At 40.0% G+C, this 26,240-nt stretch overlaps 1 protein-coding gene and 2 pseudogenes across 9 annotated transcripts in view, besides 2 other annotated features; 1 reads left to right on the top strand and 2 right to left on the bottom strand.

Moving 5' to 3' along the window:
- The window catches only part of SLC4A4 (solute carrier family 4 member 4), a 509,424-nt gene that overhangs the window by 218,716 nt on the left and 264,468 nt on the right, over nt 1–26,240 (top strand). The gene's annotated exons all lie outside the window — the stretch shown is intronic.
- Nucleotides 18,759–19,260: an enhancer, noted in NCBI's record as "H3K4me1 hESC enhancer chr4:72165851-72166352 (GRCh37/hg19 assembly coordinates)". NCBI's record gives its function as "activates a minimal SCP1, AML or CMV promoter by ChIP-STARR-seq in naive H9 embryonic stem cells {active_cell/tissue: H9 hESC(naive)}" and the evidence as "EXISTENCE:reporter gene assay evidence [ECO:0000049][PMID:30033119]".
- Nucleotides 18,882–19,804, bottom strand: LOC107986208 (probable UDP-sugar transporter protein SLC35A4; annotated as a pseudogene).
- On the bottom strand, nt 19,890–20,559 carry LOC124900836 (SLC35A4 upstream open reading frame protein-like; annotated as a pseudogene). The gene is made up of 2 exons (XR_007058427.1): nt 20,186–20,559; nt 19,890–20,096 (listed from the first exon to the last, which is right to left on the bottom strand). The product of XR_007058427.1 is annotated as an SLC35A4 upstream open reading frame protein-like (transcript).
- Nucleotides 24,738–24,907: a silencer, noted in NCBI's record as "silent region_15475". NCBI's record gives its function as "represses an Ori minimal core promoter by ATAC-STARR-seq in GM12878 lymphoblastoid cells {active_cell/tissue: GM12878}" and the evidence as "EXISTENCE:reporter gene assay evidence [ECO:0000049][PMID:35858748]".

Raw genomic sequence — 26,240 nt, forward strand, 5'->3', positions numbered from 1 at the left:
AACACTAGGATATATGTCAGGAGGCCTGGGATCTAATGCCACATGTGCATTAAGTGAGTTTATGTCTTTCTGCAACTTGGGAAACTAGTATGAGCCCCGGTTTTCTCCTGTGTAAAAACAAGGGGCCTTGACCCTAGGCAGTCTCTGAAATCTCTTCTAGGTTTAAATTACATGGTTCTAAGAAATTTTTAAAATAAAATGGACTCTGGTTTGATCTTCATTTTCTCTTGCTAATTAGAATATAAAACCTTGATATGAGAAGTGATAATTGAAGTTTAATATTGCATTTAAGTGTAACGTGTTAGGGAAATTCTCCCTTTGGAATACATAACACAACATGTATTATATTAAGTGTTTAAATATTTCTAATGCTACAGTGGGTTATTGGCAGATTCTTCCTCCTTCAAAATAATTTGAGAGATTATAATGCCACACTAAATATAGTGATACGTTAGTATTGCCAATGAAATGTGAACTGTGGATTTGTCTTGAACAATACGTAGCACTGGTGACTGAGGCAAGGGTCATTTGATCTCTTTTTTCTCTTTCTTTTTTTTTTTTTTGGTTTCCCTTTAATTTTCTGAATGAGATGACTATATGATACAAGTTATTTCTTTCTTACATTTATTTGGGTGACCTCAGTTTTTGTTCATGCATACAAGTTCTGAAAAAGAACATTTACTTCTTTTTAGTGAACCCTGTTAAAAAAAACCTTGAGAAGTTTGGCTTGAGATTTGAGCAGAAAATAAATTAAAAAATGATCTGAGTTCTTAGGAAAGAAAAAGTAGCCATGGCTTTGGTAAAATTAAAAGTAGGCCCTGTGAAAAGCCAGAAAATAATTCATTTGGCCATTGCAGTATAGTTTATGGCAAGTGGACAGGCAACTAACTGAGTTAGGAAAAAGGGCATCCCTAAAGATGATTTTTTTTTTTTTTGAGATGGAGTTTTGCTCTTGTTGCCCAGGCTGGAGTGCAATCTCAGCTCACTGCAACCTCTGCCTCCTGGGTTCAAGTGATACTTCTGCTTCAGCCTCCTGAGTAGCTGGGATTACAGGCATGCTCCACCATGCCCGGCTAATTTTGTATTTTTAGTAGAGATGGGGTTTCTCCGTGTTGGTCAGGCTGGTCACGAACACCTGATATCAGGTGATCCGCCCACCTCGGCCTCCCAAAGTGCTGGGATTACAGGCATGAGCCACGGCACCCAGCTGATTTTTTTTTTTTTAAAGACAAGGTCTCACTCTATTGTCTAGGCTGGAGTACAGTGGCATGATCAGGGCTCACTGTAGCTTCAACCTCCTGTGCTGAAGAGATCCTTCCATCTCAGCCTCCTGAGTAGCTGGGACCACAGGTGTGTGCCACCACATCTGGCTGATTTTTTTTTTTGAGACAGTGTCTCACTATGTTGCCCAGGCTGGTCTCAAACTTCTGGGCTCAAGCGATCCTCCTACCCGGGCCTCCCAAAGTGCTGAGATTACAGGAATAAACTCCCATGCTTGCTCAGATTTTTTAATTAGACCAAAAACCCTGGGAATCTGTACTAATGAGTGGGACATCTGTGACTGGTGACTGGATTTTTCCGCAACGATAAAGGGACTATTACATTGAGAGCTGAGGTCTGAAAATGCTGAATAGACTTGGTTAGTAAATTTGATGAGTGAAATTTTATTATGAAAATACCTGCCAAGTGTTCTGTCATGCATTTCCAAAAAGGTATGCTACTCTTCATCTTTTATGATCACCCAAAACTGTGATCAGTGTAGCAACAATGACCAGAATTCTGCTGATTTGTTTTATATTTTGGAACATCATTGAAACCTTCATTCCGCTATCTCCCTCCTCCCATGATCCTCATTTCTCTTTCATTGCCTTTTGAAGCATTTGAATGAAAAGCTGAATTCCATCTTTGTGTGCTCTTTCATGGCAATGTTTTTAGGAGTAGGAGGAGAATCTAGGTACAGAGTGTCTGCAATAGCTGAGATGTGGGCATTCCTGACATTTGACCCACGGGGAGCTTCTCTTTCTTGTTGTCAGAGTCACACAGGGTTGCACTAGGTTTGCCTCAGTTGCTTTGAATATCTTGATTTTTGTGGGTGGGAAGCCAACAGAATCTTGGCAGGATAGGGTGTGAAGGCCACTCTTCTCTAATATGTGCCAGGTCCATAGCCTCGTTACCCCAGTTTCCAGAGAAGAAAATGTTAGGCTGTCAGGGGAGTGGTTTTTGAGTCAACATTATTTCTATATCTCCACTTTCTTTCCTTAAGAGTAATTGCACTAGATCATCAGATTGTATCCATTAAGCATGTATTGCTATTTACAGAAATGGGAGACCAAATCAGATTGTGTATGAAACTTTGATTACTTTTCCTCTACAACATTTCCGCTGGTTTTGCATGTGTTCCAGAGCCTAGGGAACTTCCCTGCAGAGTTCAATGTAAGCTGATCCCAGGCTGGTCCATGGTGTCATCCTTTCAGACCCAAGTGCTTGATGAGCTTTTTATAGTCCTCCTGCTGCAGATGCCTCCTCCTTTTGCTTCCTTATGCTAAATGAGGAGAGTGAACAATCATCTTACAATTTTCTCAGCAGTCAGCTTTCAGGAATAAAGTCATTTTTCCCCCTTTGTCTTGACTTCTAAAGTCTAAACTTCTATGGGAAACAACCCACGGTGATAAGGGTAGTAAGAGTAATGCTAGGAGTAGTATGATGTCATAGGTAAAAATTAGCCTCTATCAGTTATATTTCCCAGAATGGAAATAAATGGCTTCTACTTGTAATTTAGACTGGGATCATTTTAGATTTTATACTCTTTGCCAGATTCATTACTACTCCTTTAATGGTAGAAAGACTTGGTTTCTACTTAAAATGTTTTTCATTGAATTTGAGTATAAAAGGAGTTTAAAGTCCAGCTAATCTCTCTGTCACCAAAACAGAATCCTTGCTGTGATTTTTCTGACTGATCATAATTCACACTCCCAGGGCCAGAGAGCCAGTTGCTTTGCATGGTGGTCCGTTCCATGTGTGGATGGTTTTATTTGCTAAAATGCCTTTCATTACATTGACTCAGAGTTAGCCTTCCTGAGATTTTGACCCTTTGGTCTTAGTTTTGCTCTTCATAATGCAGTTAATCCTTCTTCCACATAACATCCCTTGAAAATTAGAATAAATTGTAACATCTCTTAGCTTTGGGTGATGTGATGTTTTTATAAGCTATATTCTATTTATTTATCTTCCTTCAAGTCATTGCTAATAATGTTAGATAAAACAGTATATTACTTCTTCAAGGTGATCTTGGCTTACCAGTCAACTCTGTTTTTACATCTTTTTGGCTGTTTGCATTTAAACAAGGATGATGAACTCACCTGTGCACCTTGGTCTTGTAATCATTTTGCTCCGCATTCTTTTCTTTTATATATCTGTATTCTTACATTTTGGGTTCTGCTGATTATTTTGAGCTTTATGTTGTCCCCTGGTTACCTCTGGTTTCCTGATGTTCCCTGACTTAGACACTTTGGGTAACTACGTGCCCACCTACTTCTCTAACAGACTGGTGCCCTCAATGGGGAATCTGATTAGGCCGTTATTTAGTCATGGAGTAATATTCCTTAGAGTGAGCTTTCCAACTGGTGTCCTGTAGCAGTAGATTACAGATGTGCTGAGAAATTGATCTCTGCAGCTCTTGAAGAGCTGGGCAGAGTCTCAGTAGTCTCAGGTGTCAGGTGCCTCAGTGTGACATTCAGATGCCATTATGTGCTCCATGGTGACCAAAGCCTTAAGCACTGCATCAAGGAATCAACATAGAGCACTGGTAAGTTAGTAGGGCATAGGGTTAGATATTTGCTTAACTCAAGATAAATGATGCCGTCATTTAGTCAAAAAAGGAAATAAGGCTTTCTTGGCATAACAAGTTCTTTGTGAACCTATCCTGACTCTCGGTAACCTCTTAGGTTGAAAGAGGTGATGGTGTGAGTGAGATGGGTGCTGTCAGTGGTGCTCTGTGTGGCGATTACCCCCACTGGCTCACCTGGGGAGACTGAGGGCAAATTGCCTGTATTGATCACAGTCCTCTCATTCAGTGTCTGTAGCCTCAAAAAGATGGGTGGTAGTATTTCAGTCAAGTTTACTGGGGGCTGGGGCTTGATGAAGCATCAGAACCTGGAAGTATGCTGATGTTTAACCCCTGCTTATCTTGCAGGCACAGGCAAGTGGGCAAGTGTTAGGAAAAGTGAAGTCAACATCTGGAGCACTGAGAAACCTGACTGTACAATAATAACCAGCTATAAAACAATTCTCAGAAAACAATTCTCATATTACTCTATGAGATGTCATTGAAAAGATGCATTTAAAGGAGAAATTAAATATTTTTTTTGAACTTTGGCTACTCTATTTCAAAGTTTGTATTTAGATTAAAATGTCATCTAATCTGTTTGGTACTCTTTTGTTTTCTAGTGAACAATTTTTGTGTAGTGACAAGTGTTAGCTATGTTTATTATGACTTTTCATAACAAAACTTTGAAGCAGGAATTCTCAAATTTAAATGAGCATTGGAATCACTAGGAGGTCTTGTTAAAAGTTCAGATTTCTGGCCAGGCGCAGTGGTTCACACCTGTAATCCCAGCACTTTGGGAGGCCGAGGTGGGTGGATCACGAGGTCAGAAGATCGAGACCGTTCTGGCTAACACAGTGAAACCCCGTCTCTACTAAAAAAATACAAAAAATTAGACAGGCATGGTGGCGGGCGCCTATAGTCCCAGCTACCAGGGAGGCTGAGGCAGGAGAACGGCGTGAACCTGGGAGGTGGAGCTTTCAGTGAGCTGAGATCGCGCCACTGCACTCCATCCTGGGTGACAGAGCGAGACTCCATCTCAAAAAAAAAGTTCAGATTTCTGGGCTTCACTCTCAAAGATTTTGCATAAGTAAATTGGGGTGGAGCCTGGAAGTGTTTTCTAAAAGCACTCCATGTGGATTCAGTTGGAAGTCAACAGAAGACCAAACGCTTAAAAGCACTGGATGTAAAGGACCATATGCTTTTGTACTGATCAGCTGGTGGATACTTAGTTTTGTATTGTCAAAGGGCCATTTGCTTTGGAGACTTAGGATTCTTCCCTAGCATGTGTCTCTTCTTGGGCTGTGTTGAAATACAGAAACAACCAACCAAATGGAATTATCACAAGCAGTTTTCTATAACTTTGTGCAAAGTTAGGCCAAACATTACATGTTGTTATGGATTATGAAATTCAGAAAACACTGCCTCCTATTTGTGTATAGCTATACCATTAAACAGTATTTTCACTTAGTTTGTCTCTGTTGATCTTTATAACAATCTTGTGTGGTTAGTATTTTTATTTCCAGTTTATGAATGAGAAACTTTAAGGTTACAAGTAAATGGTAGAAGTGTTACTCTAACCTTTATTGTTACTACTTCGAAATTAGGCAGGTTTTATTATGTGCCAGGCACTATGTTGTACATTCTGAAATTCATTCTCTCTCTGAATCTTTATAAAACACTGTGAGGTAAATGTTATTATTATTTTTAGAATTATTATGAGTTTTTTTTTTTTAACTTGGCTCTTGATGAGGCTAAGTAACAGTAACTTCTTGAGGTCATGCCTTTAGTCAATGGCAGAGCCAAGACTTTAGCCAGGTTTGTCTGACACTGGAGTTCATGCTTTCACTCTGGGTATTGTTAAGGCAGATTGCCTGGCCTGATTATAGTCTTCTAATTAGATGTCTGTGTCCTAAGAAGGATGAGTGGTAGTGTTTCTAGGCAAGTTACCAGTACACATTATACATTATAGCAGGCTGCCAGTATACATTATATAAAGCCATGCTATACAACTCATTCTAGAAAGAACAGAAAGCAACAGGGAGATCTAATAGGAAGGAAAGCAGACATTCAAAGTATAAAAATTAAAATGAAATGAAATACAATTGTGCATTTTTAGAAAACTTGATAAAAATAGGATTTCACACGCTTCAGAAGTACAAAGAGTGGGAAAGGCATAAGTTGTGATCTGCATACATTCTGATAATGTTAGCCATTCTTCTTGAAGAAGCAGTAGGATTGGCCTGTGTTTTATAGGCTTTTGAGTGTTGTTTGGTGTTTCGTTTATGGGCTTATTTTTCCATTACTAATACCAGCTGGCATTTGACCTTTCATGCTCATGCCTTTGGCAGTATAGTCTTTCTAACTTCAATGTACAGTATGGCCTTTGTGTTTTAAATCAGAAATTTATTTTAATCAAATACATCTTGTAGTGTTGTGCTAGTGCTTTTCCCTCATTGACAGTAAAGTCTCATTGATGCTGTATTTACTCTGGATTTCTTTATGCAATTTCAAAATGAAAAATTTTGATTCTGGTGGTTCTGGTTGTAGTCCAGTGATTAGTCTCAACACAAAAGAAATAACAAAATGTTAATTCATTTTCCCCTGAAGCTGACTCTGGACTAGAAGTCAAAACAAAATATTTTCTATTAACTAATTTCATGAGAATTCAATATGAATAAATGACTTGGCAGTATCTTTTTTTTTAATCCCAAGTTAAGCTTTTCTCATGACTTTATATCATCTACTACTGATGGTGATGAAAATTCCCAGGAGTTAATATGTTACCTTATCCTGATATCTTTCAATTGACATCTTGAATGATCAGAATGATCTTTCAATCATTTTTAAATCTCTATCCACTGAGATGCATTTATCAGCTGTCCATATTCATTTAGCTTCTAATACTTACCAATTGCATTTTAATATCACTTGTTTCTGGTAGTCTAGGGGAGGCTGTGTCAGAAAGGGGTAGCATGCAGAATGGCCTTTCACCTAAATGGATTCTATCTTGCATGGTGACTTACTTGAAAGCCATGAGTGACGGATCTGGGATATATAAGTTTAGGCCTATATTTTGTAAGTGATTTTCTTTCAGAGAGATTCCCTGAAAATGTCAGAGCACCTGCTTTTTGATAGAGACAGTCTATGCAGCACTTGATGGTCTAGCCTGAAATCAAGGAGTCAGAGAACAAATATAGGGTAGGGGATTTTTTTTTTTTACAGAGTTTCACACTGCCGCCCAGCCTGGAGTGCAGTGGCGTGATCTCGGCTCACTGCAACCTCCACCTCCTGGGTTCAAACGATTCTCCTGCCTCAGCCTCCCTAGTAGCTGGGATTACAGGTGTGTGCCACCATGCCTGCCTAATTTTTGTGTTTTTAGTAGAGACGAGGTTTCACCATGTTGGCCAGGCTGGTCTTGTACTCCTGACCTCAGGTGATCCACCCCCCTTGGCCTCCCATAGTGCTGAGATTACAGGCATGAACCACTGTGCCTGGCCTAGGGTAGGGTCTTTAGAAGGGCTTTGAAGGGTGTTGTGAGCCATCAGGCCAGTATCCTCATTTGAGACATTTTGTGTAGTTCAGCTATTTATTCAGTTAAAAAAATCTCCATGGAAATGATATGTAGAAGTCTGTGGTATTTCTCTCATTCCATCTTATGAGTTAAAAAAATCAATCCTAATTCTAATTTTTTCTTTTTTTTGTATGATTGGAATCAAAATATGCATAACCTTTGTATCTTTCAGCAGAATACAGGCTGGTTCTTGACTTTTTGGTGGGCTGCTGGAATTACATTCTAGGTTCTCAGACTTTAGGGACTTAAGCTGAGGCCTGGGCTGACCTTGGGAATGTGCTTTGTTATACCTCTGGGAGTAGCACTGAGCAAAGCAGGTTGGGAGCCAGGATTCCAGTACAGGCAGGAAGGAGTAAATAATTAGGTTAGATAAGAAATTATTTGCCTTCCTTTCAGCAGGTGGACAAGCTAACAAGGAAAACATAATAAAGGAAATAAAGCTCACTTAAAGAGGGAAAAGGCCAATAATGGAATCACTTAAAACTTTTTATTGAAGAAAATGGGATTCCCTTGCACTCTTGTTTGAAATGTGTTTTGGATATGCATTGTTTTATATCAGATTTGGATATAGAATTATGACATTGTCCAGCCATAACAACTACTTTGTTAATTACAACTAGTTAGTGGATACCTGCTGGTACTGCACTGTAAGTAGTACCAACATATTCTAAATGTTCTTATATAAGAACTAAAATGTTATTATGCAAGAGAAATTCCCTGCTTCCAAGGAGTTTTATAATCTAGCAGAGAGAGAACGTGTACATCCAACACAAGTTGAGAACACTTGCAAAGTAACATATCAATAAGTGGAAAAAAAACAGTGCAAATGGAAGTATTGAGTGATTAAGAGAGTGATGCCAAAGATATGGGGCTGGCTGAGGAAGGATCTGAATTTTGAATTGGGTAACGAAGGAGGAGAGAAACAAATTGGCAGACAGAGATGAGGAAGAAAGATATATGTGAGGCCATAGGTTTGGAAGTGAAGCAAGTCACATTTGACATGTTAGTGACAATAAGCAAGACAACAAGCACACAGGCTAGGACAAGGCGGAACTTCCATGGCCGTGGATAATTTGGGATGAATTTGATTATTGATTTGATTCAAGGGAACAGTAGGAAAATGCCATCGATTCTTGAGTATATGCAATGTGCTGAAAATGACAGATACTGGTAATTATTTAGGCAGCAACATCTATGATAGGTTGGAGTAGTGGAGCTAAGGGTGGAGAAAGTATTAGGGAGCTGTTTTGTAACCTAGATTTAAAGTAACGAAGGTTTAGAGGAGGGCTTTGGGAAAGTCTGCTGGGTTAGGAAAAAAAATGAGCTCAGTTTTTGAGATACTACTTTTCAGATGTAGCAATCATATCCTGAGATGACCGGTCAGTTACTAGACAGGATTACAGTTTGAGAGCTCAAGTCTTGGCCATCGACTTTGGAGGCATTTGTGCAAGGTGATAGTTCAGTAATGCATGTGGAGTATGTATCATGGTGGTGACTATTGAGGGAGAAATGCAGAAAGCTGAGTTTGGAACCTTAGAAGCAGCTGCCAGCCAAGGGGGTGGAGGCAGGCAAAAAGTATAGTCAGCAAATGAGACAAAGAGGTAGTAGAAGAACACAGAGAACACCCAGGGAAACCATGCGAGGAGAGAATTTCAACAGTGCTAACTGAAGCATAGAGGTCAAGGGGATTGAAGACTTGAGAAAGACCTATTCGACTTCTCAAGGGAAAGGTCTTTGGAGACTTAGAAAAATTTGTTTCCAGTGAAGTTTCAGTGCAAAAGTGCATCAGGGATTTTCTAGATACTCTGCATGACAAGGGGATTAATGTTTAATAAATAAATCCCTTCTGTAATTGCTTTAGCACATATGACTGGGTATCTGGGTTTTCAATATTTCAAGGGAAATGGTGAGGTCACTGCAGAAAGGAATTGAGGTTAGATTTCTCATATTATACAAACCCATCAGGTGATTTTTATATTATGTGGGAGAGAAACTCTCAGAGCTAAACTATTGGGCCTATTTAGATTCACAAGATCCTAGTGGCTCTGGGAAAAATCTTTGGGAAAATGTAAAACCTGAGCAGTGTTAGAAAGCCTCTTCTTTGGTCCTGTTATTTGGTTTATGTTAATGAATTAGCTTGGAGTATTTGTCAGAGATGTTGAGTTGTGGAAAATAATAAAAATCAGATTCAAATTTACCAAAATAATTAATATCAATTTACATGGAAGTGGAGGCACCAAAGAATTTTGGTCAAGACAGAATCAAAGCTCCAAATTTAATGACCTACAGTTAACATCATGCCAAAAGAACAGAGCCATTTTGTAAGAAACAACAGTCTAGTTGAATAAATGGAGGTGATAAGTTAGATATGGTGAAGAACTCAAATTTTAAAAGGCAAGAGACACTTTCTCATGACTGAAGAAGAGAAATTTGTATTAGGAGATATACCTAATGCTAAATGATGAGTTAATGGGTGCAGCACACCAGCATGGCACATGTATACATATGTAACAAACCTGCACGTTGTGCACATGTACCCTAAAACTTAAAGTATAATAATAATAAAATTTAAAAAAAGTTAGTTATAATGTGGGATCTGAAATAATAGTGATAAGATATTCATAACTGTGGCCATTAAAATCCATTGACCTATAGTTTTTTTGTTCATGCATGATTTTTTTTTTTGAGACAGGGTCTCACTCTGCCACCCAGGCTGGAGTGCAGTGGCAAAATCATAGCTCACTGTAGCCTGGAACTCCTGGGCTCCAGCAATCCTCTCGTCTCAGCCTCCCGATTAGCAAGGACTACAGGCATACACCACCACAGCTGGCTAAATTTTTGTCTGTAGTGAAAAGGGAAAATAATGTCTTAGTTTTACTGTAAAATAGTATTGCCCTCATAGGCACCCCAAAAGGGTCCTCAGCCCACACTCCTAGAATTGATGCCTTAATACTATGCAATTCTCAAGTTGTTATTACTAATAAATTAAAAAATTAAAATTCTCTTTGCTGTATTTTTTAAAAGAGTGAAAATGTACTTTACAATTCTATATTACTTTATTATCAAATTGTGAATGAGTTATTACCAATGTTGTAGTTAGAATTTCTTTTCCTCTCCTAGTTTTTATTTCTGTGGGTATAGTCGGTGTATCTATTTATGGATTATGTGAGATATTTTGATACAGGCATACAATGCATAATAATCACATCAGCATTTATCCTTTCTTTGTGTTACAAACAATCCAGTCATACTCTTTTAGTTATTTTAAAATGTCCAATAAATTATTGTTGACTATAAAAAAAAAGAAGAGAAATTTGTAGAAAGAAACCAAACTTCTAAATTTATCTTCGATTCAACTAATTAGCAGTAGTCTCAATTATAAAACCTGAATCTATAATACGGTCTAACTTAGGTGTAATTAGATGAAAATGTAGTACTTTTCTGGTGAGTTAAATATGTGATTTTTGATTTATAATCACATCACAACAAATTGGTTGAGAAAGAATGAAGGTAAAGAAAAGATTAAATTTTATTTTGGCCTTTAGCTCAGTTTTATGTTCAGATGGTAGTTTCCCAGTTATAGCAAAACTGTACTTAGCCCCTCCTTAGTTCTAGGAACTAAGTTCTAGGAAGTAAGGAGGGACTAAGTACAGCTTTGGCATAATTGAGGGTGTGACTTTGATGTTTCTATAGATTTTCATATCTCTGCAATAAAACTTAAATTGCTTATGCTGTTTCTCTGATATAAAATACAGAGTTTTCCAATGCTCTATAAAATGTAATTTAGACAGACGAACATGAAACTGTTCTTAAACTTGGATTGCCTGGGATTCTGAAATTTTTCTGGTTATTTGTTCAAATTGATACCTGACTATGATATTCACAACATTTCTTGATTTTCCCAACAGCTGCTATACAATATAGGATGTATATTGAATTGAAATAATAAATAGGCGGGAAAAAATGAGAGGAAAAAAGATAGGTACAAACGAAAGAGGAAAGAACAAATGTAAATCATCGAATAGTTATGATCACATAGTGTGAGTATGTCTTACTTTTGGTTTTTTTTGTTTTTTTTTTTTTTTTTTTGAGACAGTCTCACTCTGTCACCCAGGCTGGAGTGCAGTGGTGCGATTTCGGCTCACTGCAACCTCTGCCCTCTGAGTTCAAGTGATTCTCCTGCCTCAGCCTCCCAAGTAGCTGGGATTACAGGCACCTGCCACTGCGCCCGGCTAATTTTTTGTATTTTTAGTAGAGATGGGGTTTCACCATCTTGGCCAGGCTGGTCTTGAACTCCTGACCTTGTGATCCACCCGCTTCGGCCTCCCAAAGTGCTGGGATTACAGGCGTGAGCCACCGCACCCGGCCTCAATTTTGTTTTTAAGATTTCTACCTGCCAAGGCAAAATATGAAACTTGACTACTTACTTGATTAATACAGACCACAACTTAAAAACAAATCACTTGCTTAGGAGAAACACAAGTATTATCAACATAAAATCCAGAAGGAGGCTGGGTGCGGTGGCTCACGCCTGTAATCCCAGCACTTTGGGAAGCCGAGCCAGGTGGATCACCTGAGGTCAGGAGTTCGAGACCAGCCTGGGCAACATGTGAAACCCAGTCTCTACTAAAAATACCAAAATTAGCTGGGTGTGGTGATGCACACCTGTAGTCCTAGCTACTTGGGAGGCTGAGGCACAAGAATTGCTTAAACCCGGGAGGCGGAGGTTGCAATGAGCCAAGATCACACCACTGCACTCCAGCCTGGGCGACTCCGTCTAAAAAAAAAAAAAAATCCAGAAAGAAATAAAGAAGACTTTGTATAATGCAATTAATGACACCTTAACAACATCTTGATTAGAGAATAGTCAAGTTTCCCAAATTCCACTGAGCTGGTTTCATGAGTTGGTAGACTGATGGTATCACATAAAAAGTCCTGCAAGGTCAATTCAGTAGTGGGGCTTCAGGTCCAGTTAGATAATTCTTTTAGAACTTAAGTTTGGGATAACTATTTTTCTTTCCACCTCATGTGTTTTGAACTTTCAGGGCATATATTACAACTTATAACGTATCGCTGTCACTCTTAGTCTGAGCGCTCATGTTGAAAGCACGCACTGTGTGAGCTGTCATCTCACTGTGAATCAGCAGGAAGGGTGAGTTTTCATAACATCAGTGAAGGATGAGGTAATTATTACAGAATTGGTTTTTGGAATACATGATAAAGAAATTCTGAGAAAAAAGTGAAGGTCTTCAGTTCCCTAATGGATAACAAAGGAGAACTTAACCTGACAAAAACGTCCAGGAAGAGTTTGTATGTTCCCCTAAAAATGGAAGCATGTTAGTAACGACCTTCAATTCTTTCTGGAATGAGGGGGAAATTCCAAAAATAAACTAAATAAAATAAGCAGTAAGATTTCTTTGAATTTAAGGGAGAAGCACATTCTCCCAGTTAAGAAAGGTGTCTTCTGTGAAGCTGCCTAGGGCTACAGTCAAACAGATTCCCCCTGACAGGTGTGGAACTTGTCTTCACTCTGCAGAATGGCCTGTTCATTGTATTTCCCTTGGCATGTGATTCAGGTTGTTGGAGACCTTGGTAAACTCATCATATTAGATCATGGGTTGATGTAAGTTCATGTTTGGATGTTTTAAAATTGGTTGGAACCTGGCTAGGGGAAGAACGTATGTCTACAACTGGCCCTGAAAGAGATTAAACATGTTTGAAATGTTTTCTTAATGGCAGTGGAGTGGGTAGTAATGTTTCTTTTGCTGTGAGCCAGCAAGTGTGCCTGTTAGGAGAGCATTCCCGAACTCATGATGAATCAAAGACTGATTAACTGTACTTTAAGTACGGCATCTGGAAATTGCTTGTGAGAGAGATTTTGCCATCAATTACAGAAGACACATATGTCACTGGATTTAGGACCAAAGACAGGGACAACCCTTTATCAAACTGATTTCTACTTTACTGTGGGTCCTCTTTTAATGTAAACTTTCGGACTTGCTGCTTCAAAAGTAGTTGGCTTTCTTCTGCTAGTGATATGTAAAGAATGAATGGTGCCCATAATTGTTATAAATATAATATGCAGAGTTATATTTAATTTATAACATAAGTCACCAGTCAAAAAGACAGTTTAGTTTTTTCCTATGACAAAAATCCAATCTTACTCAGTAAAACAAATGATTTACAACTCATTGCTTTTCTGAGACTAGTATTTACTGTGCTATAATTTCAGGCATTTAGGTTTACTGAAGGCATAAGGTATACTTTTTTAGATGTTAAATTTTTAGATATGGTTGATTGGGGGAAATTAACAATTTCAATGTTTGAAGTGGTAAACAGCTCATTTCTGCAGGGAGTGATAATTGGGAATGTAGATCATTGGAGATGGACTGAATTTAGGAACATCATGGTTGTAGATGTGGATTTAGGAGCTATCTGCTTAGATTTTGAGTCTTTTCCCATGATACTCTAACTCACAGGAACGGAACTGTTGCTGTATCTCTCTATACTTACAAATGGTGAGGGATTATCTCTTGAGCTGAGGGGACAGATTAGACCCTGGAGCTGCAAACCCTAGGTGTATATCCAGCAACCCCTGGACTGGTACTTTCATTGTGGGATGTATACATCCTTTTAAATATCAACAGAAGAAATTTTCAGAGGTTTTACCTTGATTTTCCTAAAAGAGGAAGCAATCATAGAACTGAATTCCTTTTCATAATTCTTCAAAATTGATTGGAGAAGAAAATTGCCTTTTCTCTCCTGCCTTTTCATTTTGAGGAACCCTTAATGATGTCACTTATTTTAAATCAAAGATGCTTATTTATTGCAGCATCTGCTCAGTCCTCCATTTCTTCCTTTCCTCTCCTCTCCTCTCCTCTTCTTTTCTTTCTTTCTTTTTTTTTACATGGAGTCTCGCTCTGTCACCCAGGCTGGAGTGCAATGGTGTGATCTCGGTTCACTGTAACCTCTGCCTTCTGGGCTCAAGTGATTCTCCTGCCTCAGCCTCCAGAGTAGCTGGGATTATAGACGCACACCACCATGCCTGGCTAATTTTTGTGTTTTTAGTAGAGACAGGGGTTTCACCATGTTGGCCAGGCTGGTCTCGAACTCATGTCCTTACGTGATCCACCAGCCTTGGCCTCCCAAAGTGCTGGGATTACAGTCATGAACCACCGTGCCTGGCCTCAGTCCTCCATTTCTAAGGCATTGTATCATTCAGTGGTTGTTTAATAACCTTAGACAAAATCTAAGGTTTAACAACCACTGAATGTTACAGTGGTTCAAGAATACAGTGATACAATGGTCCAAGAATTGAACCAACTCTTTTTAACCTGTTTTTTTTTTCATTTTCTTTCTTTTTATACCTTATACAAATAAAATATGACTGTGTTTTTATTTTCATAGTATAAACAATATGGAAAATAAAAAGCTATATGATACAGAGCATAAATAATGGAGCAGAAAGTGAAAGTCTCTCTTCAAACATTTGCCCTGAGCCTACTGAAGAGTTATTCATCTACTCTCTTCTCTTTGGATTTACACGCATTTAAATGTACATGTAGAAAGATACTAACTTGTGTTTTGCAATAGATAAATTGACTTGTCTCATGTATAATGATCAATAAACTGTTAACCTGAAAATTCACTTTGTACCTCTTAATGGCTGGCAGCATTTCTATATTAAAAGAAACGTGGAAAAATAGCAAAACTCTACATTCCTGAAGTTTATTTTTATTCAGAGTTGGGTGTATTTTTTTGGGGGGGAACCATTGGTACTTTTTTTATACATGGTAGACTAAATTATAATGTTTTAAAAATCAAAAGGTATTTGGAGAGATGGAAATATGATTTGATGATTTCTACTAACTATATGTATTGTCTCCATAATATTTTCTTAATTTAAAAAAGTGGTTAACTTATGTGTGTTTGGCATATTTTTGAGTTGATAATCTCAAATAATTCTTCACTTATTACACATACTTGAAAATCTGCTCTCTCAGTTTTTCAAGTTAAAAGTATTCTGTCCTTGTGGATCTGTCATTTCACAGACATACCTGTTTGCTTTGTTGGCTAGGTGATAGAAAATAAAGGGCAGAACATAAGAAATTATCCTTCATTGGATATTAGTTCGTTCTCTCATCTGGATTTTAAAGTATTACTGGAAAAAAATCCTCTAATCTTCTATTAAAGATAAGATAAGTTCTTACAATGTATAGGTTGTTTGTAGGACTGAGAAGTATTGGAAATATGTCTTGGCTCAACTAGTTGGCCACCCTTGAGAGCCAGTAATACCAAGTGGCTAAGCTTAGTTGCACCCAGTGGCAAGAGACATTCTGAGGTTTCCCATGTATTGGGAGGAGGCCCAAGACAAAGAGGTCCTTGTAAAACTCAGCTAGAGACTTGGCTGTGGGACAGAGTCCTAGAAGAATCTACATTAACTGTGCCCTGCCCAGAGGCATGCTGCTACAGCCTTTGTGCTGGGAACCACCAGGATCATGGTATGAGTTTGCGTCTCCAGGTAGACACTCTGAGCTTCTTTTGCTTACTGACCCTGTTACTACCCCTGAGCACTGCAGCTGCCGTGTAGCATCATACATCTTCTCTGCAAAGTCATATTACACTGAGATTGTTAGAAACTGTCTGTCCTTTGTTTTCATGTGTGTGGTTGTTGCTGTAGAAGATAATTACTTATCCTTACATCTAGCTTTCTGGCTTGATACACACACACAGACAAACACACACACACACACACACACACACACACACACACACACACTCTTTGGCAAAAGAAATGAATGTATTGGTGAATCTTTTTTTTTTTTTTTTTTTTGAGTTAGAATCTAGCTCTGTCGCCCAGGCTGGAGTGCAGTGGCGTAATATAGGCTCATTGCAACCTCCGCCTCCGAGGTTCAAGTGATTCTCCTGCCTCGGCCTCCTGAGTAGCTGGGAATACAGGGATGTGCCACCACCCCTGGCTAATTTTTGTATTTTTAGTAGAGACAGGGTTTCACCATGTTGATTGGGCTGATCTAGAACTCCTGACCACAAGTGATCCGCCTGCCTCAGCCTCCCAAAGTGCTGGGATTATAGGCTTGAGCCACCGTGCCCAGCCAGCATTGGTAAATCTTATGTATAATTTTAAAATTAACCAATACATTCATTTCCTTTGGCAAAGTATAAAAAGCATAGGATTTGAATTTGGAAGACCTTGGTTCAAGTTCTGCTTCTGCCACTTAATAGTACTGTGACCTTTCTGAGGCTCTGTTTCCATTTTCATTCCCCATCTTGGTTGAGGCTTGTGAGCTTCAAATGAGATAATATATTTAAAAGCATTTTGTGAACCATAAACTGCCACACAAATGTTGATTATTGTTAATATTTTATATTTAGTCTTGCTGGTACAATAAAAAGTTAGTAATAAATGCCCCATGAGCTGTCTTAATTCCAGAGAAGACATATGAACTAATATACCCAGCTTGGGTCATCAAAAGGTATATTTATATAAGGGTTACTGCTAAGCAGTGACAATCACGGGTGTGCTAATTTCATCCTGGGATCTGCAAGCAGCCTTAGGTGGAGAAAAGAGGAGGCACAGAACAGAGATAAATAAAGGCTTAGTTTCTACACAGCCTTGTGAAAGACTGTGTTTTAAGGGTTGAGTTCAACCATTAAGGTTGATGGTGTTTTATAGTACTTATTGATGCTTAAAAGTAAAATTTATCAATTTTTAAAAGAATAGTTTTATGAGTCACCAAATTTATAAATATGGTCAAATGTGTATTCCACACTTTTCAGAGAAATTATGTAGCTCTTCTGGTAACAGTGAGAGTCCTTTGCTTACACAGTCAACAACATAGGAAAAGAGATTCAGTTTTCCTATGGCAAGTTTCACATCCTGGAAAATGTTTTATCAGTTGGATGCTGGGGCCATCTCTAGGTTAGAAAGTGTCAATGGGAAGTAGTTCAGGTTCAGATATGGGTAGGATCTGTGCTTCCTAGTTTGGAGAAGGGTTTCTGATGATGAGTTGGGATTTGGTTTTCATTCTTCTGGCCTCGTAGATGAGTGGCCAGTTTCATTTCATTGATTGGCTCTATCTTCAGTTTATGTGCTCATTCTTTCCATTGGAAACTCCTTTAACTCTTCTGCTGAAAATGTTCTCTAGGGTTCAACTTTAGGGAAATCTTAGCAAATTTTATTTATTACTCTAGCTATTATGTTTATTTTCATAACAGCTTTTCTGAAGGAGGACATCTAACACATCTAGGTGTTCATAATGTGAGCCTCATTTGTATTTTCAGAGAAAAGTTTTATCTTGAGTTTGAATGAACTGTGGAATTAGCTGAGTTAAGAGACTCTCATTTTTGCTATCCATGAGGCAGAAAAGTGGTGTGAAGGATATATGACTTCAGCCAATTGACTACTGACCAGTCTTTCTATTGTTTAGGCCATAGGAAATAGGGCATTTGGAGACAGGTGCTAAGGAAATGAGTAGCACTTTTGTGTGTGTGTGGTTGTAGGAACCACTGTACACCCTAGAACACTTTATTAAGACCTTACTGCTTATGTAATTGAAAAGACATTGATTGAGCTACAGGTACCTGGTCAGACATTGAGAGACCTGTACTTGGTCTCAGGATGCTCTGTGTAGAGCTTCCCCAGGCTGTTGGGAGCTGGGAGACTGCTTGGCCTGGACAGGACCCAGAATAAGAAGCATGGTACCTCCTATAAGCCTCCGAGTAGGCTGTGGGCTTCAAGATGGCTCTCAGGATGATCAGAGAGGTCAGGAGTGTAGGCTTAAGCCAGGGCCCAGGGCCAATATTCTCTGAGATGAGTCAAGCCCCAACCCTCTCTGGGGTTTCCAGAACAAAGGCTTGATTTGGGGAGCCAGCGTTGTGGAGAGGGCAGGGGGCATGTCTCTAGGCATTGCTGGAACTGAGGGAGATTGTCAGAGTGGCTGGGGTAATGTTTGTATAATCCGTGGCAGTTGGTCCTTCCTGCATGAGAGTGGGAGGTTGAATGTCCCTTATGGGAGAGTCATACACCAGGGCTGGGCTGGAGCAGCCAGCCAGAGGGCGTTGGGGCAGTGGCTCTGCTGGGGTGACCAAAGTAGGGAAGGAAAGCCACTTGTTGCGCACACCCCATTTTGATTAACTGCTTTCATGCAGGATGAGGCAGGGATAGGATCATTTCTCAGGCCCAGGTATTGATGTTTTCTTAATTCTTTAGTCTGGAAGAACTTGATGAGAGGGCAGGAGGATGTTAAGAATTTCCTTAATCAAACCCATTTTTCATGTCTCCTAGGGCTACCCCTTCATCTGCACATCTGCAGAGAATAACCTGACTCCTCTCACTTCTCCAGCTTTTCTCACAAGGCAGTTGTTACTGGACTGCTGAGGGAAGTGGAAGGGAAGCCTGGGAGGGGGCTCTGATGGTGGCACCCAATATACAGGGTCTGGAGTCAGGGTGAAGGAGGTCAGGGACTAGCGTCTGCCATAGCACGGGCACACGGCCAGGCTAATGATGAGCAGCATGGCCAGGAAGAAGGTGGCTGTGAGCTGCAGCCACAGCAGGACTGCTGAGAGCACGGCATTGACCACCAGTGAGCAGGACACAACGAAGAGGCATGGGATGCTGCTGCTGTGCTTCATGACAGCGGACATGACAGGAGCAGTCCATTTAGCCCTGCCTCAGCACCACAAGTTCTGCCCATGCTGACAAGCCTTCCAGGAGGCCTGGGCCGGGGCCACTAGCGGCATGCAGATCTAGATTCAGGAGCACACCAAAGGTGTAGAGGAAGACATTCTGAAGTGCCAGGGGCAGCTGCCGTCTCTTCATGAGCAGCTCTGTATGCAGTGACGACAGGCTTGAGATGAGGCAGTCCAGGATGAGGAGCAGCAGGCCCAGCGGAGTGATATGTAGGGGCATGGGGCTGGCAGCAGCTTCTGGAGGGGGCCTGGGAAGGGTGTTTCGAAGGTCTTACAGGCCATCTGGTGGATAGCAGACCCCCGCAGCCATCTGCAGCAGCAGTGCAAACCCCTGAGGTGCAGAGAAGCAGTGCTGGAGGCAGAGACAGTGGAACAGGGCCCGCTTCCAATCTTGAGATTGCTCAGCACGTGGTAGGTGCTGGGGTCCATGTCACACTGAAGATAGATCACCAGGTTGTTGTTAGTGCCATAGATCAGGGCTGATCATGTGAAGGGAGCAGCTTAGTGCCAGAGTGGGGGCCCCCTACAGCCATGCTTGCCAGCCCACTAGAAGGGAGAAGGTGCTTAACAGTAGCTTGGTCAACTCAGCTCCACAGCTGAGGAGGGCTGGAAGGACACCTGGCTGTCCACATGGCACAGTGCCAGCATGGGGGATGGGCACCACACGTGGCAGTAGATAGGAGCAGCATCAAGGTCCATTACACTCATACCCACACCAGACCTTGGGTGGCTGGTGTAGTTAGCAAGGGGAGTGGGATTGCAACATATTTACGGGAAATCAAGTTATGGAGCCACCTCCCAGTAGGGAGGAGCCGTGGAACATTGCCAGAGAGGATACTGAGGATCAGAGTCATCTGCCAACTCCATAGTCAGGGCTTGAAGAGTAAGGGACTGGTGGCCCTTGAAGCCACAGTCTTGGGGCCAGTCTGACGGAGTTAGGAGAGGGAAGAAGGAATCTAGGGTGCAGGCTGACAAGGTGCTGTGCACACTCTGCAGGAAGGGAGGCAAGGATAAAGGCGGCATGAAAGTTGGAGAAAAAATGGATGACAGCCAGGGAATCCAGATAGTAGTGTCTCTACCTGCAGGCCCCAGCTCCTTATTCTGCCTCCCTCATAGCATCTAGAGCTATTCGGGCTCTTGCATAGTGACTGCAAATAGTCAGTCTTTCAATGTCATCTCCATGTTGGGCACAGCATAGCCTGAGCTGCACAGATTGCCAGCGCAGGTGCCCCTTGCAAAGCCCAATACAGCTGATGTCTTCAGTTTGGCCACCACAGCCAGCCAGGAATCCCTTGAGGAATGGGGAGGACAATAGCGAGCCATCCCAGCCACCTCTGCTGTTGACTTTGTCTTCCATGTGCCGCTGCAGGCAATCCAGCTGGTTCTCGAGAAATGCCAGGTCCTTAAGCTTAGGCAGAGAATCCTTGTCATCTGTCATCTTCCCCACCAAACTTCTGAAGAGCACTTTCTATAAGTCAAAAGTAAGGCAGTCTTAGTTTTATTCTCTATATTTGATGTTTGGTGCACTGCAAAAGATGGCATAGCTTAGTAGGATGTTATTTTATTTCAGTTGCAAGATAGGAAGGGCATTGATAATTGTAGAAATGGGGAGGGGTTACATATATGAGTCTGAGGCTGTATATTTAGTCTTCTGAGCTTTGGAAATAGAGATGATTTTTTTTCAGTCTTAGCAAAGGAAGTATTTTAAAATTTCAGAAACAATCAGGCTATTAATAAAGTATGTTTAAGTGGTAGAGAGAGCAATGCACTAAGAATAATGATTTTTTAAAAATCTTGATTCTGCTAGTAACTTGCTGAGCCTGGACAAGTCCCTTAATGTTTCTGAACCTCTGTCTTCTTACTTATAAAATGATATTTCTATATAACTTAAAAGGTCCCTTCCAGACCTAAAATTCTGTGACTCTGATTTTTCTCTATGCTCATAATGATTCTTTGCTTACTTCCACAGAGTATGAAGGTAACAGGTATCCCTTATCAATGAAAATTACCTTTAAAAGTATAAAGCAGCAAACTGTGTTGCAAAGGGAAGGTATGGAAATGAGCTGTGAATCTTGAACCTAATGGGGTTGCCTGTAGCTCATTCTCTTTGATGTGCGCTACCTGCAGTGTTCACTCCTGGTGTGCTGTGATTCTGGAAGAGAGGCACTAGGTCTTGAATGTGTAGTTTTTGACAGCCTGTTTCTAGATGGGACACACATCTAGACACACATCATTTCAATGGTGACCTTCAAGGGCAATGATGCCCCAGCCTTCAATGTGTAACTCTTAGGTAACACTAAAATTGGAACTTGGCAATCATATAGGAAAAGAGGATAATGTCATGTTAGGCCTAAATAGGGTATTTTGGGGATGGAAAACATCAAAGTCTATACTCTACCCAAGTATAGATTTTGGTAAATGGATTTTAGACAGATTGTTTTTCAAGCTCCGTTATGTCTCCTTAGACTTTTTCACTTTTTGTAGTAATCACTTTTTTCTGATGTTTACAATATTCTGTTATAAATGGGGCTTACCATCTGCCATTAAGGAAAGTATAAAAATCAGGCTGTGCCAGTCTTTTTCTCTCCATAAAGTAATTTCCATCAGACCTCATTTTCCTCTGCTTTAGTCTCTTCTGCGAATGTGGTAGTGATCTTAAGTTATATAGCTTGTAAGGTGAGGCACATTACAGATACAAATCTGAGGATTTAGCTGGGCAAGGGAGGGAGAGAAATGGTAAGAAGGGAGGTAGAGGAGTTTATTGATTACTCATGTAATGCTTCATTGTGAGTAAAGAAAAGCAGATTGGTCATCTATAATAAAATGTAGCCCAAATGGCATTTGCACAGTTGTAAGGTTTATTTCACAGCAAATCAGTATGCCTATTAGCATTTCACACATATCCCTGTCTCTCTGTCAAGAATGTTTGCAGATTCTTTGTTGTTCATGCTTAAAGGCACTTTTTATCTTCTGTTGTCTTGCTAATGGACCTCCTCTTGAAAAACAACTCTTCCTGTCTACACAGATGAATCTCTTCATGACTACTGTGTTTCAGTTTTTGATTAGCTCCTTGGGAATCACAGTTTCTGTTAGGATGAGCAGAAAGAATAAGATGGGAGGCCGTAATTTAACATTGTAATTCAGGATCAAAATCATAGGCTTTTGTGTGACTTTGAAGTCTTCCTGCTCCTTCTAAACAGAATTGCAGCTATAGCATCCCAGCTAGGTGTTTTTCACATCTCTTTTTCTTCCCTTCGTCTTCTTCTTTTACTTCCCTTTCTTCTTCCCCTCCCTCCCTTTTTTCCTTTTTTCCCTCCCTTCCTCCCTCCCTCCGTCCTTCCTTTCTTCTCTGTATTTAAGTACTTGCAATAAAAACACTGACACTTGCCTGCATCTTGAAAACCCCAGATTCAGTTTCATCAACATCTGTTGAATGCCTATTATATTCTTGATTCTGTCCTAGGCCTATTCCTATGCATTGTCTTATTTAATCCCCATAACAATTACTTGAAAAAGCTATTTCATTCCCATTCCATCGATGAAGAAACTTTGGCCTGATTCATAGAGCTAGTATGTGGCAGAGGCTGAATGTGAAATTACATCTTCTGAATTCTTCCTTTACTGGGTAGAAACTCTGTTTCATATGGGAAGTTGTATTAGGGTTCTCCAGAGAAACAGAACCAAGAGGGTATATGGAGATATACATGTGCGTATATATATTTATTATAGGAATTGGCTGTTGTAATTATGGAGGCTGAAAAGTCCCACAGTCTGCTGTCTGCAAGCTTGAGACCAGGGAAAGCCAGTGGTGTAATTCATTCTGAATCCAAAAGCCTGAGAATTGGGGGGCCAATGTCCTGGTGTGAGTCTGAAAGCCCAAGAACCAGGAGTGCTGATGTCTGAGAGCAGGAGAAGATGAATGCCCCAGCTTAAACACAAAGGTGAATTCACCTTTCCGCCATCTTTTTGTTTGATTTTGTCCCTCACCAAATTGGATGATGTCCAAGCACATTGGTTGGGCAACCTTCTTTACTCAGTCTACTGATTCAAATGCTGATCTCGTTCAGAAGAGGCAAACCTAGAAATAATGTTTTACCAGCTGTCTGGGCATTCCTTAGCCCAGTCAAGTTGACACATAAAATTAATTGTCACATAATTGCTGTTATAAAAGGAACTATACCTTAGTGTGGAAGTAAGCCAGCTATGATTAAGTGAGAACATGTGACCAAATTCTGGGTCCAGATTCTCAATGACTGATTCAGCCTTGGGCAAGGTTTTGACCTTTGTATTTTAGAATCTCTACTGATTAAAAAGAGATAGTAAAAGTTGTCTTAGAGGAGTCTTAATCTATAGCTGTCTGTATTTACTGAAAAACCTTACTTTTACAAAATTTTAATTTTGTGGACAACTTGGAACTCTTTAGTTGGGAAATAAATTCCAGCATAGTTGTTTTAATAGCACTGCAATTAATAGAAGTTATATTATCTAAATCAATTGTTAACAAATATGCTCAGTTACTGGGCAGAATCTTATTTGATGGGAATATCAATACATATTTGTTGAATACCTACTATGTGACTGACACCTTACATTCATGAGCTTATTTAACCCTTATCATTTCTGTGAGTTCTCAATTACTTGCCTCAAAGAATGAGGCTCAGAGGAATTAAATAATTTTTCCAAGGTCACATAACTAGTAGGTGGTGAAGTTGGGATTTGGATCTTTGAATGCACAAAAATAGCACAATTATTACTAGTGTGGGATTTTCAGTTAGATTTAAGTTCCAGTTCTGTCTCTTACTAGCAGTGTAACCTTTGGTGATTGACTTAATCTATCTAAACCTTCATTTTTAGATTGAGCTACTTAAGAGGTCTGTTCCATTCTAAAGATTCAATTGCAACTGTCCCTTTAGCATGGCCTGACACAGTGAGTGAGGTATGCAATGGCACCTGTTTATAAGGGTTTAGCATGTTAAATGAAAGATGAAGCATAAAGATGAAATGTGAGCATTTTTTTCATAATGTATGCTAAAATGTTAAATCATGCAGTTTTAGCAAAAGATACTAGTGTGATGCATGTGTTATATTAGACAGAACTTTGGAGTAGAGCTGGGATATGCAAAACCTTTCCCCATCTTTACCACTAGCACACTGTGAATCTCAGAGCATATTATTTCACTTCCGTGTCCTCTGTGTTTCATCTGTTCATGCATTCATAAAACATCTACAGAGAGACAGCAGTGTGTCCAGGCACACTGTACGAGGAATCTAGGAACTGGAAAAGGAGCTAACACGTGGCGTCTATTCCCGCATGGGCCAAGGAACTTATAGCCTAATGGGAGGAGAGACAGACATATGAAGATTTTATAATGCAGTGTGAAAAGTGGTATTACAGTGTTCAGAGCCAGGGGAGGTTTTATGGAAGAGCTGACAATTGAAGAAGCAATGAAGATGAGAAGGCACTCTGCCTTATTTATCTTTATAGTAATATTTCCTAAAGCATTGAGTGCAGTGTCCAACACATAGTAGGCACTCAGTAGTGAATTGGATACTGATTTGCAAGCTGGACTTGTTTTCAACAACCATTCCTTCCTATGTTTCTTGTTATAGCTCCTCTACCTCTTTAGGGAGCTCCACAGGGACTCAGTTCAAGTCCCTAATTCTCTTAGTGACAGTACACCAGGGTGGTTAAGAGCATAGGTTCTGAAGTCAGACTTCCTGGTTTCAGTTTCTGTCTTTGCTATTTGTTAGCTGTCTGACCTTGAGCAGTTAGTTAGCTTTCTGTGCCTCTGTTTTCTTGTCTATAAAATGGGATAATAGGCTGGGCGCGGTGGCTCACACCTGTAATCCCAGCACTTTGGGAGGCTGAGGCGGGTGGATCATGAGGTCAAGAGATTGAGACCATCCTGGCCAACATGGTGAAACCCTGTCTCTACTAAAAATACAAAAATTAGCCAGACGTGGTGGTGCTTGCACCTGTAGTCCCAGCTACTCAGGAGGCTGAGGCAGGATAATTGCTTGAACCCAGGAGGCGGGGGTTGCAGTGAGCTGAGATTGCGCCACTGCACTCCAGTTTGGCAACAGAGTGAGACTCCGTCTCAAAAAAAAAAATCATAATAATACCTAGCATTATTAAATGGAAAAAATTAAATGCAAAGAACTTTGAATTTGAATGGAGACTAAGCACTAAGGATAGTAATTGCATAATGAAAGTTAGCAATTTTTATTTTTCATTTTGATACATTTTATGCTGAGTTCATTTATTAGAGTGCCACTTCACAAATAACTCAGTTACCTGCAAAAATAGAATTTTTCTGATTGACAGTGATCAAAAAGAAAAGGTGACTTATTTTAGGAAAGATGTTGCTTTTTCTTCGCCTGCTCTTGCTTTAAAGAATGGATCATAAGGTTCTGGTTAATGTCATAAGGAGCTCACATGTATTTTGCTAATTATAAGTCATGCTTCTCAGTGACCCTTTTAACTGTTAAAATGACCTCCAGATTCTGATTTTTCTTCACTCTTTATTAATGGTTAACAAACTGTTTAATGCGCGGTAGGAAAGCCAAGTAAGCCTGAAGCATTTAGAAAATGGCATGTGAATTAGTTGTAAACTGTTTCAGTAAACATTAAATGGGTGGCAATTACTTAAAGTGATTGCCTAAGTTTCATTAAAGTATTTAAAAGAAAAAATATGTGCTTAATGCTGCCTTAATTATAAGGAACTTACTACAGTAGCTTCCATCTAGGGTTTACCAAATTAGCCTAATTCATAACCTCACCCAGGGCATTGTATGCACATGCATTTTATACACATTTCTGATTTCCCCCTTCACCCCATGCCTCACTGAGACTCAGACCTGGTAATCTGTGTTTTTAATTATTTAAGGTGAATCGCTGATGAGACCTGGTTGGAAAACACAGGTGTTGTCTGGTTAAAAGCTTGGTTTTGATTTTGCATTCAACAATTCAAAAAGCTCTTAAAGATACTTCAGTATAACTGGTTACCAAGGGTTAATTGTGGTGAATATAGAATGAGAGTAGCTGAGGAAATGGAAGTCTGTGATTTTTGATTGCCTTGTTAAATCGTCAACAGCAGCAGCACCACCATCATTGATTGGGTTATGGCAGGAAAT

The sequence above is a fragment of the Homo sapiens genome, chromosome 4 (assembly GCF_000001405.40).
Source record: "Homo sapiens chromosome 4, GRCh38.p14 Primary Assembly".
Classification (NCBI taxonomy): domain Eukaryota; kingdom Metazoa; phylum Chordata; class Mammalia; order Primates; family Hominidae; genus Homo; species Homo sapiens.